Below are 15,921 nucleotides of genomic sequence, written 5' to 3' on the forward strand. Positions count from 1 at the left end.
CCCTCTAATGATGGCTATCTGACTATAAATACTTTTTGTTAAACTAAGGAAACCACTAAAGTTCATTTGAAATGAAATGTCTGGCTTTTTTTTTTTTTTTTTAGTAATTTACTAAACACCTTGAACCTGATAGGCTGCCAACATGGTATGTTGAGATTTTTTCTTTAATCACTTCTTTTAACTATTAATTATCTTTCCTTGTTTAATCACCTGCATTCTAATTCAGTCTAGCCTGTCCACTGTCTCCCAGTGTTGGGCAGCCCTTAACCTCAGGGACTAGGAGCAGAGAAGGGGCAAGATGTACCCTTTTTAATCACTCCTCTTCATTCTTACATTTCTGCTTCTTTGGGATTGGGATAGGGGAAGAAGAGTTAAGGAAAGGAGTAAAATTCTTTTTACAAGTGCTATTGTAGGGCATGTTTGATTTTGTATTTTGCCCATACAGTAAGTTCTCAAAGGTGGACTTTGTTGTCAAGCTCAAGTGGGAGGACACTCGGTTAGTGTCTGACACATCAGATACATCAGATATCCACTGGCTTGACTTCCTTGTGCCTAGTCCAGCAGTGTATACCCCAAAGTCTCTTGCTGCTTGGGTTACTGTGGCTGACAGGTGGCCTTCTTGGGTCCTGCCAAGACAACTCCAGCTCAGCTGCCTTGACAGGGCTCTGCCTATCCCAGGGGCGTATGATGTATCCTTGTTCTCCCAATGGTGGAGATGCTTATTACCTGATTCACTGTTGACTCCTCTCTAGTTATGTTCTGCTCTGCTCTAGTAACCGCAGATGGCAGATCAGTAAGTCCACTGTGTGGACTCTAACAGAATAAAATGCCAGTTCCCTAATATCTATAATTGGTGTTCTCTGGGAGCTATCATTAGTTGAATTGGGAGAGGTGGACCAAACCCAGAACATTCTCACTCATCACTCACTTTTCCCAGGTAACCCTCCAGCCCATCCTCTTCTGCTCATGATGACTCTTAGGACACAGGAATGGAAGTTCTGCCACCAGCCTCTTAATGAGTCCCACAGAGGTTTCCCGGGGGGAGGGGGGGCTTTTAGGAGAGAAGAACAAGTCTTCTCAAAGCACTGAAGTGATGATGAGCGGCATCTCACCTTTGCTTAAATAACAATATTTTATCATGTGTGCTCTTCCTATTTGAAAAGCTTTAACTCTGAATTTCTTTCTTAATACCAACAACAAATCCTTGCTCCTTTTAGGCTTACAAAAGACTACTTAGTCTTATGGGTTGTCAAACTTTCTATTAGAAATATAATTCCCAACTTCCCTTCCACAGTCCTAAAAGAGGCAGGGTTGTCGAAAGCATTAAATGCTTTGACACTAAGCTCCTTACACATAATAAAGGCTCAATAATTAGTTCTTAAGCACTTATCATACAGACGTAATTCTAGTACAATGTGGTATGTTGTACACACATTTTTGTACTGGAATTACTTGCTTATGTGTATCTTCCATTTCATGGTATATGCTTCCAGGAAGTAATTGTTATTACTATGCACGGAACTTTGCATGTAACAATTAGTTTCACAATATTCTGCCATGATTCTTGATATAAAAGCAATTATTAACATTGTTATCTCTGTTGTTCTCTCCCCACTATATACTGATCAGTGAAAAAATGATTTAAGAAATGAGGAATTTAAAGACCAGATGGTACTGTTGATCAGGAATTATCAATTATATATTATAGTACATCATCCTGAAGGCTTTCAGCATTTCCCAGATATGATATTTCTTACTTGGAACCTTGATACACCTTTGACATTCAGATCTATGACATAGGGGCAATTTTATCTATTAGGCTACCTTAAAATTGTGATTTTGGTACTTAATAACTAAATTACCTAGGATGGGTACACCTTGCACCACTTTGTTCAATTAGACATGAAAAAGAAAAATTACATCATAGAAATGCTCTAAAATTTTTGTGTTCATTTGAAAAATAAAGTACCAACTCTGCATTTAGTTAACGTTCATTTTATAAAATACTTTAAAAGAACAGATAAAGTACTTGAGGTTACATAATAACCAGAATTGAAAAGGAATGAATAAAATATAAATTAATTGAACATATGACTATTTTGCCACATCACACAAGTTTTAAAAAGGCATTTTAAAAAACAATAAAATAGTAATTGGGGAAAAAACCCTTCACTCTATTGGTGTCTTTGTCTGGAAAACTTTCCCAGAATCACTAAAATTCCAGGTCAACAGGTAGTACCTGAATTATTCAAGTATACTGTAATTTGCTTCCAAATCTGTTAGCTGAAGAGAGAAACTAAAATTTTATCCAAGTTAATTCAGTGCAAATCAAAGCTTCAAGTTGAAAATCTGAGAGAAAAAATAACGTTCGAACTGTAGGAAATGCTTCTGGAACTGAAAAATTAAAAAATCACATTATGAAGAAATCTTTGCAAGTGTTCTTGGTATATGAAATGCTGAGTTAAGAAATGGGACCCTTTTAAGTTGCAGTGAGGGTTCTATTATGAAGACTATTTGCAATGTGGGCAAAAGGGAAACAGAGAGGGAAGAGCTGAAGGTTGTATTTGTGGAAGGAAATTCAAGTTAAGCAAAAACTGCTTTTATTCAATTCTAGAAAAATTTGGTGAGATATATCATACATTAGGGGATAAAACAGATTATGGAGATAAATTTACTGGAATATAATTGAGGATAAGTCCTTCTATCTCCAGAACATGTTTGGGTTGGGTGAGAAGGGTTGATATTGGCCACATATCAGTAAGTTAATTTGTCTTAATTTTATGTATTATATGAAATGCTGACTTAAAAAAAAATTGTTACCAAATCTTGAGAAATGGAAGGAATGTCTAACTTTTTGGATCACAGTGAAACAAAGTCTGGATCACTTCCAGACATCAACGAGCAGTCGCTTTTACAATAAAAAAAAATTTTTTTAGGTTTAATTTCATAGGTGATAGATAGCAATGGGTCTTTCTTGACAGTGTTTAATAGAAAGTTTTCCTCTTTTCATTCCATTACGTATGAATTTTTGATTCATTCTTTTTAAATGACAATACTAATGGTTGCTATTGAGTACAAGATGCAGAGATTTTGCTGGAGGCTGGTAAATTTTCTCTGCAAAACAGATATCCCCCCACCCCCCACCCCCAAATTTCAGGTCCAGGTTTGCTATATCATCACTAGTCCTTTTTTAATTCTCACTGGAAATTTTCAAATATTGTTTATAAACTGAATGAGAATGTGCTATGTTCTCTAACATTCTTATTTTACATCATTCTCTAATATATTAGGAATGTTGCAACAATGTTATCACAATGAAGTGGCAACTTTTGGCCTTTAGACTGTACCTATCATCAGCAATCATAAAAAGGCCAAAATAAACAGTGCTATTCCAAGGTGACATCTGAAACTGTTAAAACAAGTGAAAAATCATAATGACAAAACAGGGGTTCATAAAGCAAAAGAAAATTTGCCAATGCAATTTTAAAAGTGTAAGAAACTTCACTCATGTACCTACTCATGGGAAGAACATCTAAGGCAAATGAAAAATTCCCCTCCAGGGACATAACCAGCTCAGAACCATCTGAAAAAATTCATACAAAAGCAGAAATTACCCAAGGCCTGTGAGTCCTCATCTCATACCATGAAAGCCAGACTGTCAAAAAAAGGGCACATGTCACTTTGCAAAGGAATGTATTAACTCCTCTCCCAGGGTCAACTTAGTCTACGTGTCTTTTGTATAACATTAATTTCCACCAGATCTACTAGATGTTCAGTCATGTCCTTTCAGGTCCTGAAGGCAGGCTCACTCTCTGATGCATCTTTTTATATCATGGTGGGTGTGAAGTGAAAAGAGGAGACACAGAAATATGCACAAACCCACAATTAGTCCATATTTAGAAAACTTTCTGTGGGTTCAAGCATTTACACAGAGATGATTTTATCTCATTTCTCCATTAATTTCCCATTTGAAATGAAAACCAGCTAATTCTAAATTCTAAAGCCCTGGGGGAAACCTTCCAGGCTTTGTCTATCAGACAGACTTTGTCATAAAAAACACAGAAAAACAAAAATAAAACATTACGCTGGAATCAGCTTTTGAGAGTTTGTGCTTTAAAAACACAGTGCCTAACAGCACCAAGCATATCATAGATGCTCAATAAATATTTGTAGATTTATTAAGAGTAATAACATGGTGTTTAAAGAACCAACCACCATTTTGTAAAATAGGCAAAACTACATTAATTTCTTTCACCTGATTTGATAAAGCAGTGTGGAGCAATGAATGAGAGAATCTGCAAATTAAATATGAACTCTAATTTGATTGCAGAGAGAAAATTACTGAGAACTTTGCAAAAAACATTGCCACAGTAGCCTTGACACTCAACAGTGCAACGAAGAGTTAATGTTTCCACTGCAATATGAACTGGTTCCCACAGCTCTTAGGAGATAGAGTGTAATCACTTAAATGGGAAATGAACTCTAATTCCACTTGAGAAAAGGTATGTTATGTTCATAATTTTATCTGAAAATTATTAATATATTTCAGGGAGATGGTCCTCTCATTCAGCATCCCTCAAAGTAATGCAGGCATAAGTATCAGGGGACCTTGTTATATAACTTCAGTACAGCATTGTCTTATACAAGTGTTCTCTCTTCCACATCTGTAGTAGCTGCTTTCTAATATTGTAGATTTTTACAGTTGTGACACCCCTGGGATGACAGACATGAGAATATGGAGGATTAAAGGTTACAAAACTTAAACAAAAAAGGGAAGCTCCTCTATGTTATGTGAAAACCCCTTACAAAAGGCAGTTTATTGACAAATAAATGCTTTATACATTCAGGTTTTTCCCATCTCTCAATAGTGATGGTTTCCAAAGAAGAAACTCAGTAGTGAAGAATACATACTTTTTTTTTTTTGCATTAGTTTGATCAGTTGAAAATCAGAACCTTCAAAGCATCTTGTGAATGAGAGAAATGGAACTGGACCTGGGCAAGGCATGGGGATGGTAGAGATCCATATGAATAAATGATTTAGCTGTTGATGTGGACAGCAAGAGAGTTGGTGGGAAATGTTACAGCAGACCTGACCACGCTACAAAGGGTCTGTGAAGAACACAGTACAGGTATCAAAACACCAAAACAAAACTAAACTAAAAACAAGAACAAACTGCAACTTTGCCAAACTGTAAACAAGGTAAAGCATTTCACAGGTTCAAAGTTCAAGGGAAGTAAACGTCTTTAAATTATTTTTGTCAGTTCAACCCTGATTTAAAAATATGGCTAGCAAAAACAAGGAAGCCACAGCTGTCGACATCCTGAGCAAGCATCGGTCTCCTTTGAGAAGCTGCACTCCCAAGCCTCTTCTCAAGCTGCTACACGAGGAGGAGACACTTCTCTCTTGAATTCCATCTCAGTTCTCTTTATTTCCACACTCTTGGAATACATCGATTGCTTTCCATTTTGGTGTCTACAGTTCTGGCTGCTATAGATTTAGACGTGGGGATACTGGAGGAGGGAAGGCAAATTCTCGGAGGATGCTCCGGGCAACTTCGACATTATTCTGGGCTATCTCTAAGGCTCTCTTCACCTCTTCAAAGGCATAACCCTCTCCCATGAGTTTTGCAATTTTTGCATCGACATTTTCCAATGCCGCCTCAGGCCCATGGGGTTTTCTGTGGTGAATTTCTGGTGCAGTCCTGCGCGGTCGTGGTTTAGGGGGTCTGGCTGGTGCCTGTGAACCATCTGTGTAGATTTTTAAAGAGAGATACTATTTAAACAGTGAAATAAAAATGAAGGCAAGATAACATAACAGCATTATCTCATTTCCTATGGAAATATTATTTCTTGTTTTCTTTACAAATAAACTTTTTTTCAATTTTTCCATACTATTGTGAGATAGGTAGTATTATCCTCATTTTGAACAACAGAAAATTAAGGTACAGTGTGTTGGTAGTTCCACTGAGAAATTTACACATCTCCTTCTCTATTCCACATTTTATTCTTCAAGCCATATGTGGTCAGAGAGATAGAGAAAGGAAAAAATAATTAAAATAACTATCTAAAAAGGGAAGCCTTTCACTTTGTTTAGCAATACAGTTCACACTCTACTACAGCACAGGCTCTGGTTGATGGTTCTCCAGAGGAACAATCTTGGGAGGTTTCTATGAGAGGAAACTTTGTTCACAAGCTCACAAACAGCCATGGCAGAACGTCCCCACAGGTCCTGAGTCCCATCCATGTCACAGCAGAACTGCTCTAAAACAGATGCTCTGTAGCATTTTCCTAGCTGATTTTTCAAGTTAATAATCTGTGCCTTACTGATGCTAGGAGAAAAAAAAAACAAAATAGTAGATGCTTTGACTCTACTGTTAGTCAACAGGCTGAACGGAAGGAAACTCAGTGCTTTGCTCAAATACTTTATACAGATTGCAATGTAGGAAGTTTTGCTCAAGAAAAAGCAAACCTAGAAGAAATATTAGGAGTAGAGAATTGGGTTCTAGATTAGTCCCTTGGTGATAATACAGCCTCCAATTTAAACCAATGACATTGGCACCCATGAATGGAGAGTAACCTTAAGAAAAAAGAAAAGGTCCCAGGTCATGGGCTAGCTAACTTGACAGGGCACTTTCATCATGTATTTCCTGGTTATGTATAGCACTTTATCTCAAAAGCCTAGACAAAAAATACACACATACACACACTATACGTATACATGAGATGGAGTTTTACTCTTGTTGCCCAGGCTGGAGTGCAATGGCGTAGTCTCAGCTCACTGCAACCTCCACCTCCCGAGTTCAAGCAATTCTACTACCGCCTCAGCTTCCCAAGTAGCTGGGATTACAGGCGTGCACCACCATGCCTGGCTAATTTTTTTTTTTTTTCCCAGTGGAGACAGGGTTTCACCATGTTGATCAGGCTGGTCTTGAACTCCTGACCTCAAGTGATCCACCCACCTTGGCCTCCCAAAGTGCTGGGATTACAGGAGTGAGCCACCGCACCTGGCCCATATATACATTTTAAAATGTCATCTTTATGTCATGAAATACACTTATGGATTTAAGACTATCTAGACAACAATATTTAATACCTTTCTCTCAGACCACTGACAAATGCCAAACAATAAATTCAAGGACAGAGTTAAGTGAATGGTGATGTGAGGTTAAAAGCCAAACGTCTCATGCTTAATGTTCCCATCTTGTCTCCCCACTCCTGCTGCCTCAGCAACTTTCCCAATGGCTTCAGGAGATACTGTAAGCTGATATTTTCAATAATAATAAACGTAAATAATAAAAGCTAATCTGATGTATTATTCAATATTTTTCCTTTCTAAATCAAAAGATGTATGATATTTTTCCAGGAGAAGGTAACTTGTAAAAACATCATCCTATATACAATTATAGCAATATCAATATAACATACATAAAACAAAGCCTCTAGGATAAAAGCATTTGTTTCCACATCAAATAGGATGTCTTCTTCTTTTTTTTTTTTTTTTAAATGAGATGAAGTCTCATTATGTTGACCAGGCTGGTCTCGAACTCCTGTCCTCAGGCAATCCTTCCATCTTGGCCTCCCAAAATGCTAAAATTACAGGCGTGAGCCACCACGTCCGGCCATGATGACAGTCTTATTTTAAATTATTCCTTTTTTGTAACAAAATGTCCAGTTTTAGAAAATATTATAGCTGTAGACAATGTATATTAAAGTATGCCCATATATAAGAACATATAATTTCTGGTTCTTGCTAATATCTGTACTGTTTCTTGCATCTGTAATTAAACATCTCAAACTATTATCGTCTGATAAACTGCGTTTCTTAGTATGTTTTGTAGTTCCATTTATTTTCCTATTATTTTCATTATGTCATACAGGAATGGACAATAAATTATGTTTTGCTTTTAATCATTTTCAAAACTATTAGAAATTATTGAAAGCTTTCCTTTAATCAATTACCAAAAAATTCATACATTTAAATCATGTCTGTTCTGAGACACTTTTAGATGAGAAAAGTACCTAGACTTTGATACAAAAGTACCTAGACTTAGAAAACAATTAACTTGTTTTCTACGGGTAATTTTCTAAGAGATTTTTAATATTGTTATTTTGTCTGTCCAGGATACTGAGATGTGCACATGAATGCCAGGCATGTTTGAAAAGAACAGCTGTGTATACAAGTGGGATGAATACTATGACGAATGCCTCTAATAAATGGTATAACTGGCAATTGAATCTTAAATCTCAGTTTGGCCGCTAAGATCTTGGGCTAAGCAATTTACTTTCACAATTCTCATTCTCCAAATCTACTTTATATATCTGTGTTTAGAGGTATTATTTATCCCTTTCAACCAGGTAGTATAACAATTAATGTAATATACAGTATATGGACTGAGGAGACCATTAAAAAGAAAGAACAATGAATTAATATTTATAATGATAAGTGCTATACTCAAATGCTATAAACCAGCAATTACTATAACAGGAATGCCAGAGAAGTGTGAAAGAACAAAGAACACAAAATTTGTTGTGAGTATCTGATTCTACAGAAAGCCTTCTAGCAGAATATTAAAAAGCAAGATCTGGTGCAACCTGAACTACTAGTGGAAGCTGTTAAAAAGTGGGGAGGAGGAGATCATTTCCACACTGACCATTAGAGCAAATTGCTTAGAACCGATTACTCTTTCTGTCTCTTCCCAAAGCCCAGACGCAGCCTTCACTTTCTCCACTTTTCTTTTTCACAGTACCTAAAAGTGGATTACACCAGGTCCTCATTTACTTTAGCACTTTCGAATGTGTAGGGTAGTGGAAGGAAGCAATGAAATGAAGATGAAACTATCTTCTGGTCCCCTAAGATTATTATATTGCAGTTTGGGAGCACACTGAAATAACTATAAATTTTATCAACCCTGTGGAATTTCTGTACCTGAATATACATCATCCTTAAAAATAGTTATTTTGGAAAAGCATGTGTTTGCTCTAGTGCTACCATCCATGTTCATGGTATTTTTGAACTCTTATGAGTAATTGCAGTGGTATCAAAATAAGTACAAGAATGTGAGCCACAGAATATAAATAGTACATCTTCTGGGTTACCAATTTTCTTAAAAGATATAAGGTCATTAATATTTTAAAGCACTGAAATGAATACAGATACACTAAGGAGTAAAATATAAAGTTTGCACAAATTTTTGAGACAAAATAGAAACAATGTCTTGCACTAAAAAACTAAATATTGTCCTCTTTTACCTAATGTCCCAGCCCTTGTGTTGTTCACTGTCAACTCTTCTTTGAGAAAGAAAGATTTGAGAAGCCCTGGTTTAGGAGTAAATTTTGATTCAGCTTTCCTTTTCTGAGCATATAAAAGAAGAGAGTGATGTGGCCGACCGCCACTGCTACTACTTGAGACCATCAATACTACAGTTACTATAATACTGTTACCACTTGAGACTGTCATTAGGAGAGTTACTACTGTTACTACTTGAGACCTTCACTACAACAGTTACTGCTGTTACTACTTGAGACCGTCACTACGAGAGTTACTACTGTTACTACCTGAGACCTTCACTATCACAGTTACTGCTGTTACTACCTGAGACCTTCACCATGACAGTTACTGCTGTTACTACTTGAGACCTTCACTATCACAGTTACTGCTGTTACTACTTGAGACCTTCACTATCACAGTTACTGCTGTTACTATTTGAGACAGTCATTACAACAGTTACTTCTGTTACTACCTGAGACCATCATTACAAGACTGAACTAAGGGAAGAACCTAGAAATGATAACAAAAAACAAAAGAAACTGTTTTAAGGAAAGGGTCTGAGGAAGAAGAAGTGAGCAAAGGCAGCAGCCCTGAGCTTCCATAGCCCTTTGTATTTATTGGGTAGAAAGAGCAGGGATGAGGAGGTAACGATTGGTCAGCTGCTTGACTGATCACAGGTTCACATTATTGTTAACAGGCTTCAGATGTGCCTAATCAAAAGCAACACTTGTGCCTGGGTCGTGACTGCCCTCAGCATTCCTCCTGGGCAGCAGATGCAGTTTGTCAGTTTGTCAACATTCTGCTTTTATGAGAACAGTTTGCTGTTCACTCATATAGCCTCCAGTGGTATAGTGAGTTGATCACGACCCTCATTCTTTCAGCCTCCAACAGAGTGACAAACAGAACATTCCTGGATTGCATGGGAATTAGCCTAACATGGTTGGAATAATACCCAGAATGATTACTCTAGGTCATACATTCTAGACGGGGGCAATCATTGGTTCTTGTGGGATGAAAGAAAACAATTTTAGATGGTAAAATGGTTTGTGGCCTTCCAAAGAGCCATGGTACATAGAGATATACCTCTATCTCTATGTCTACTAAGCACATCTGTAGTTTAAACTTTCATTATTGCTGGGGACAGAAAGCTTATTAGGAAAAAAAAAAAAAGTGTCCAAAAGGCCCGTAGGCAGACCATATTTTTTTTTTTTAAGTGAGACGCACTGCTGTATATCTACATAACCTCCATTTAAAGAACTGAGGATATTTCATTTCAGTGGCTGTCAATTATTTTGCCACAAAAAGTCTTTATTACTCCCCTCATCATCTAAAGATTGGGTTGGGTTTTCTTTTTCTATATTCTGAAAGATGTGTCTAATAAGCAAATGCTATTGTATTGATGAATACATTTTCCCATTTTCTATTATACTGGATCATGTTCAACAATAAATATAACACTGAGCTTCTGTATATCTAGGTCACAGCAAAGGGATTTAATGTGAAAGTTTTCTAGTATATAAAGTTAGGGTTTCTGTTAGACTTTCAAAATGTTAAAAATAGTATTTGATAGTACATAAAAATAATGGATTGTCATACAATAATTTAAAATGACATTTATTTTTTAAAATAATGTGGTAAAATACTTATAATACTCCTAAATGGAACTGAGATAGAATTGACATATTGAGTATGATCTTAAGATCGTAAGTGAAAATGTGCATAGACAAAACATTTAGAAGGCTGCACTTGAAAATGGCAATAATGTTCCTTATTGAAGATAGGGTTTTAAGTGATTGCTTTTTCTTATTAATTGTTTTCTCTGTAATTTCCTTTTATTTTCCAATGCGTGTATAATATGCGCATAATTAGAAAAACCACCACCAACAACAAAATAGTCTCAGATCTCCTCTGATACTCTTAAAGGCCTCAGCTGCACAAGTATCTAAGACTGAGAACCAGAGATCGATTTCGCTCATGTGAAAAATATAGGAAGTACATAGTGAGTGGCTTTCCTAAGGTCATGTGAAAAATAATCAGAATCTAGATTTTGAAATTTCTAGTACAGTTTTACTATTTCTAAAACCCTTCATTATTTTGTCATCACTACTATTCCATCACTATTATCATGATTTTACCACTGAACATCTCCAAACTCAGTCTGGAGACGTGAGATGCATGTGTACATTTTTTTCTAACTTAATTCTGGCATGATGATGGGATAACAACATAAACTTTATTAACAAATTTTTAAAAAACTGAAACTGATGTAAATTCTATCAGGCTTACACTTTCTGCAGCAGCTTGAGTTAGTTACTAAACTTTGTTATGTCTTTCTTTCTTCTATAAATTGACATTAATAGTATCTATTTCAGGCCAGGCGCAGTGGCTCACGCCTATAATCCTAGCAGTTTGAGAGGCTGAGGCAGGTGGATCACCTGAGGTCAGGAATTCAAGACCAGCCTGACCAATATGGTGAAACCCTGTCTATACTAAAAATATAAAAACTGCCTATAGTCCCAGCTACTTGGGAGGCTGAAACAGGAGAATTGCTTGAACCCGGAACGTGGAGGTTGCAGTGAGACAAGATTGCACCACTGCACTCCAGCCTGCTGGGTGACAGAGCGAGACTCTGTCTCCAAAAAAATAAATAAATAAATAAATAAATAAATATATATATATATATATATATATATACACACACACACACATATATATACACACACACACACATATATATATTTCAGAGTGGTTAGGAGAAATAAAATTATATCTATTTCTATATTACACAGTAAAAATAAATTTATATTTATATCTATACCATATTATATAACCATATATTTGTATAACAATATCAAATATATAAATGTATAATTATAAACAGATAATATAAAATATACATTATTAAATAAAATAACATGAATATTTATATTTTACTGCATAACTATATAAATACAATTATATATAATATTAACTTATATAAAATTTATATATCTGTATCTGGCTGGGCGTGGTGACTCATGCCTGTAATCCCAGCACTTTGGGAGGCCGAGGTGGGCGGATCACAAGGTCAAGAGTTTGAGATCAGCCTGGCCAATATGGTGAAACCCCGTCTCTACTAAAAATGTAAAAATTAGCTGGGCATGGTGGTGGGCGCCTGTAGTCCCAGCTACTCAGGAGGCTGAGGCAGAACTGCTTAAACCCAGGAGGTGGAGGTTGCAGTGAGCCAAGATCGTGCCACTGCACTCTAGCCTGGGCAACAGAGTGAGACTCGTCTCAAAAAAAAAAAAAATTATATATCTGTCTCTAAAATACTTAGCAAAGCATCAGGACTATAGTAAATGCTTAACAAACTTAACGAATTTTAATTAGACAAAATAATATTGTATATATTATCTGAAACATACTGTCTAAATTTACTTAGTAAACCAGTGACAATTCTTGGGACAGATATCAAAACTCTTAGACTACTGACCTTCTCAACTATAACAATAACAGAATTAGAAAAAAATATAAATACACTTAATTGATCAAGGAATAAAAGAAATCTCAAACACATTATGATTAACTTTGTTATTCTACTAGAAGTTGGATCAATTAATTCTGGGATTCATTTTTATGCCATAAGGTTGAATTACTGCCTCTATAGAAATACTGCTGGCCACGCGCAGTGGCTCAAGCCTGTAATCCCAGCACTTTAGGAGGCTGAGGTGGGCAGATCACAAGGTCAGGAGTTCGAGACCAGCCTGGCCAACATGGTGAAACCCCATCTCTACTAAAAATACAAAAATTAGCCGGGCATGATGGTGGATGCCTGTAATCCCAGCTACTCGGGAAGCTGAGGCATGAGAACTACTTGAACCTGGGAGGTGGAAATTGCTGGGAGCTGAGATCACGCCACTGCACTCCAGCCTGGGCGACAGAGCGAGACTCCATCTCAAAAAAAAAGAAATACTGCCTATAGAAGGACATGATTTAATAAACTAAATTACAAATAAAAAAATCTTCACATACACTGTTTTAAATATATCCAGAAAATGGTTATTTAATCTTAGATTTGTAAGGAAAACAACTCTAGGTTCTCTGGCTTTCAAACTGAAGCTGTCTGTAAGCCCCAGTATTTCACATAGCTAAACTGTGGGAAAACTCAACATTGCCATTTCCTTTGTTGAAACACAAAATCTTAAAGACACATAATCTACCTTAAAATTCCAACCCTTGCGTGAAGTGAAGCCACGATTTCCAATTGAGATCTTAACAGAGATAAACTATTGAATACTTGGTCCTAATATAAAATGTATTCAACATTCCAACAATTCTCCTTTAAGCTAGTAAACTAATGGTAGTATTGAAATTAATTCATTTTGTAATGAGATCTCCTTTATTTTATAATGAGATTGGCTTATTTGGCAATAAGGTCTTTTAATGGTTTCAAACACATTTGAGTTGTGCTAAAATCAAGCATTGTTTTCAAGTGTTACCTTGAACTTCCTTCTAAATACTAACAATATGAAAAATCACCTCAAGAGTGAATGGTGCACTTCATTAATACAGCCTTTTAGTTTTCAAAGAATGGTATTCAAACTGTAGTACAATATGTCTTACAACAAGAGAAAAGCAAACTGAGAAATTTGTAAAACCTCACACATAGATAGAAGAGACATGTGCCCCATGTGAATAATACATCCATGTAAAGAAACAAGCAGATTACTAGCAAAAATGTTTGTCCTATATACCGATATATGTGAATTTAACATGGGCTGGTAAGCTCTTCTTATATCTGGACTACCTATGATACGTTCATATATTTAAATTTCAATTATACATTTAGAAAAACTTTAAGAAAAGCATAAAATATTTTCTTTGGGAGGAATAAACATTTAGAAGGCTCTTTATATATGTAGACATACATATACATGCAGACATACTTTTTAGATAAGAAAACAAGGGAGATATTTTAAAATCAATGAAACTACATTTTAAACTTCTTTAGAAATATACTTTCCATAGAAGCCTATTCATAAATGACTATCAATTATTTAGACAGCCATAAGTGATAACAGAACTTGAATTCATAAGGCAGAGCAATCATACCAGAACCCCATTTGGTCATCTTAAAAAGGCCTTAATAAAAACAGATTAATTACTGCAAAATAAGAGCTATTAGAATCCTAAAGGCGCATATGCATTCAGTCTCAAGGGTTGAATGGAAAGACCTCATCTAGAAGGCAAGCTCAGTCTCTCTGCTGATGTAAAATAAACTAGTGAACAGCCTGGTAGGCCTGTGAACTTCATGTGAACAAACATATGTTGGAAAAAAGTATCTTATTTTCTGTGGTTGACTGTGTTTGTAAAGAGAATTTAGGGAGTAGATTGAAATATTTGATGTTACAGCTAGCTGGGCCCTCAGAGTAATAGTCAGGAGTCTTTTATTACTTAGGTAAAAGCCAGTTCAGGCTTCTGGCAAATGGCTATTCGGGGATATTTCAACAAGGTTTGTGATTTGAAGTTCTTCCAGACATTTCTAGTGTAATGCTAATAGGGATTCATACTGCTTGAAATCATATATGTGAATGATGTTCCTCTGGGCTCTACAACACCCACTTATTATGGAGAAAACTGTAAAGAAGCTGTGAAAACACTGTGTTTTGGCTACAAGTTTTCCCCTAACTAAAGTATAGGTTTCTTTTAATCCAGAGCTGGTGGTACTGAATATGTTATTTTAAATCAGTCATAGCACTTTGCTCAAAGTTATATTTTAATACTATTTTCTTTAAAAAAAATTGCTTCCTTATATTATATAGAAGCTGTCAGATATTGTCTTTCTTTCTTGACTTTCATGTTTTGTCATCAAATTATTTTGACTGGAATTACAGGCTACTCATGGATACATATGAAACCTTAGAATGACTAGAAATAAACTGATAAGAGAACACTGGCCAAAATTTGAAAAGATTAAAAAGATTTTCTATGCTTTCCTGAGTTACATGCAAGCAGTTAAACATATAAATACACAGGGATTTCTGCATCTCCCATGCATGGCATCGAGCACGTAAGAACTACCGTACTGACAATTCTTAAAACAGCTCATTAATTATCTTGATTCAGAAGTTTCAGAATGTATTGCTAATAGTATTAGCAAGTCTTCTATGAACTGAGGTTTTAGCTTAAAAAAATTTTGAAATAAGACAAAAGTTCATATAGGAAAACTTCTGATATTCACAAATATGTGACAAAAATATTGCTTATCAGATATTTGCATTTAGTTTAATACAGACATCAGCTATTCTTCCCTCCTTTTGCCTATTTGTCCACTCAAATCCATCCATCCATCCATCCATCCATCCATCCATCCATCCCCAACTATCCATCAAAGAGACATATGCTGGGCACTATGTTGGACACTTGAGGATAAAGCAATGCTATGGACTGAATGTCTGTCCCCTTTTCCCTGCAAATCCATATGTTAAAACCTAATCCCTTTTGTAATGATATTTGGAGGGGAGGCTTTTGGGAGATGATTAGATTATGCAGGGGAAGCCCTCATGAAAGGGATTAGTTTCCTTATGAAACAGATCCCAGAGCACTCCCTTGCCCTTGTGAGGACACAGTATGAAGGCAGTTATCTATGAACCTGGAAGAGGGCCCTCACTAGA

General features: G+C 36.0%; 1 protein-coding gene across 38 annotated transcripts in view; it reads right to left on the minus strand.

The window, feature by feature from the left end:
- The window catches only part of CBLB (Cbl proto-oncogene B), a 213,989-nt gene continuing 200,047 nt past the window's right edge, over positions 1,980-15,921 (minus strand). For all 38 annotated transcript variants that reach the window (NR_135810.2, NR_135811.2, NR_135808.2 and 35 more), the window contains one exon: positions 1,980-5,748. Coding sequence is in view for 31 of the 38 variants with exons in the window: in XM_011513257.2 (XP_011511559.1) it covers positions 5,489-5,748 (260 nt within the window). In the remaining 7 variants the exon portion in view is untranslated. The remainder of the gene's footprint in view (positions 5,749-15,921) is intronic.

This window comes from Homo sapiens, chromosome 3 (genome assembly GCF_000001405.40).
Source record: "Homo sapiens chromosome 3, GRCh38.p14 Primary Assembly".
Lineage (NCBI taxonomy): Eukaryota > Metazoa > Chordata > Mammalia > Primates > Hominidae > Homo > Homo sapiens.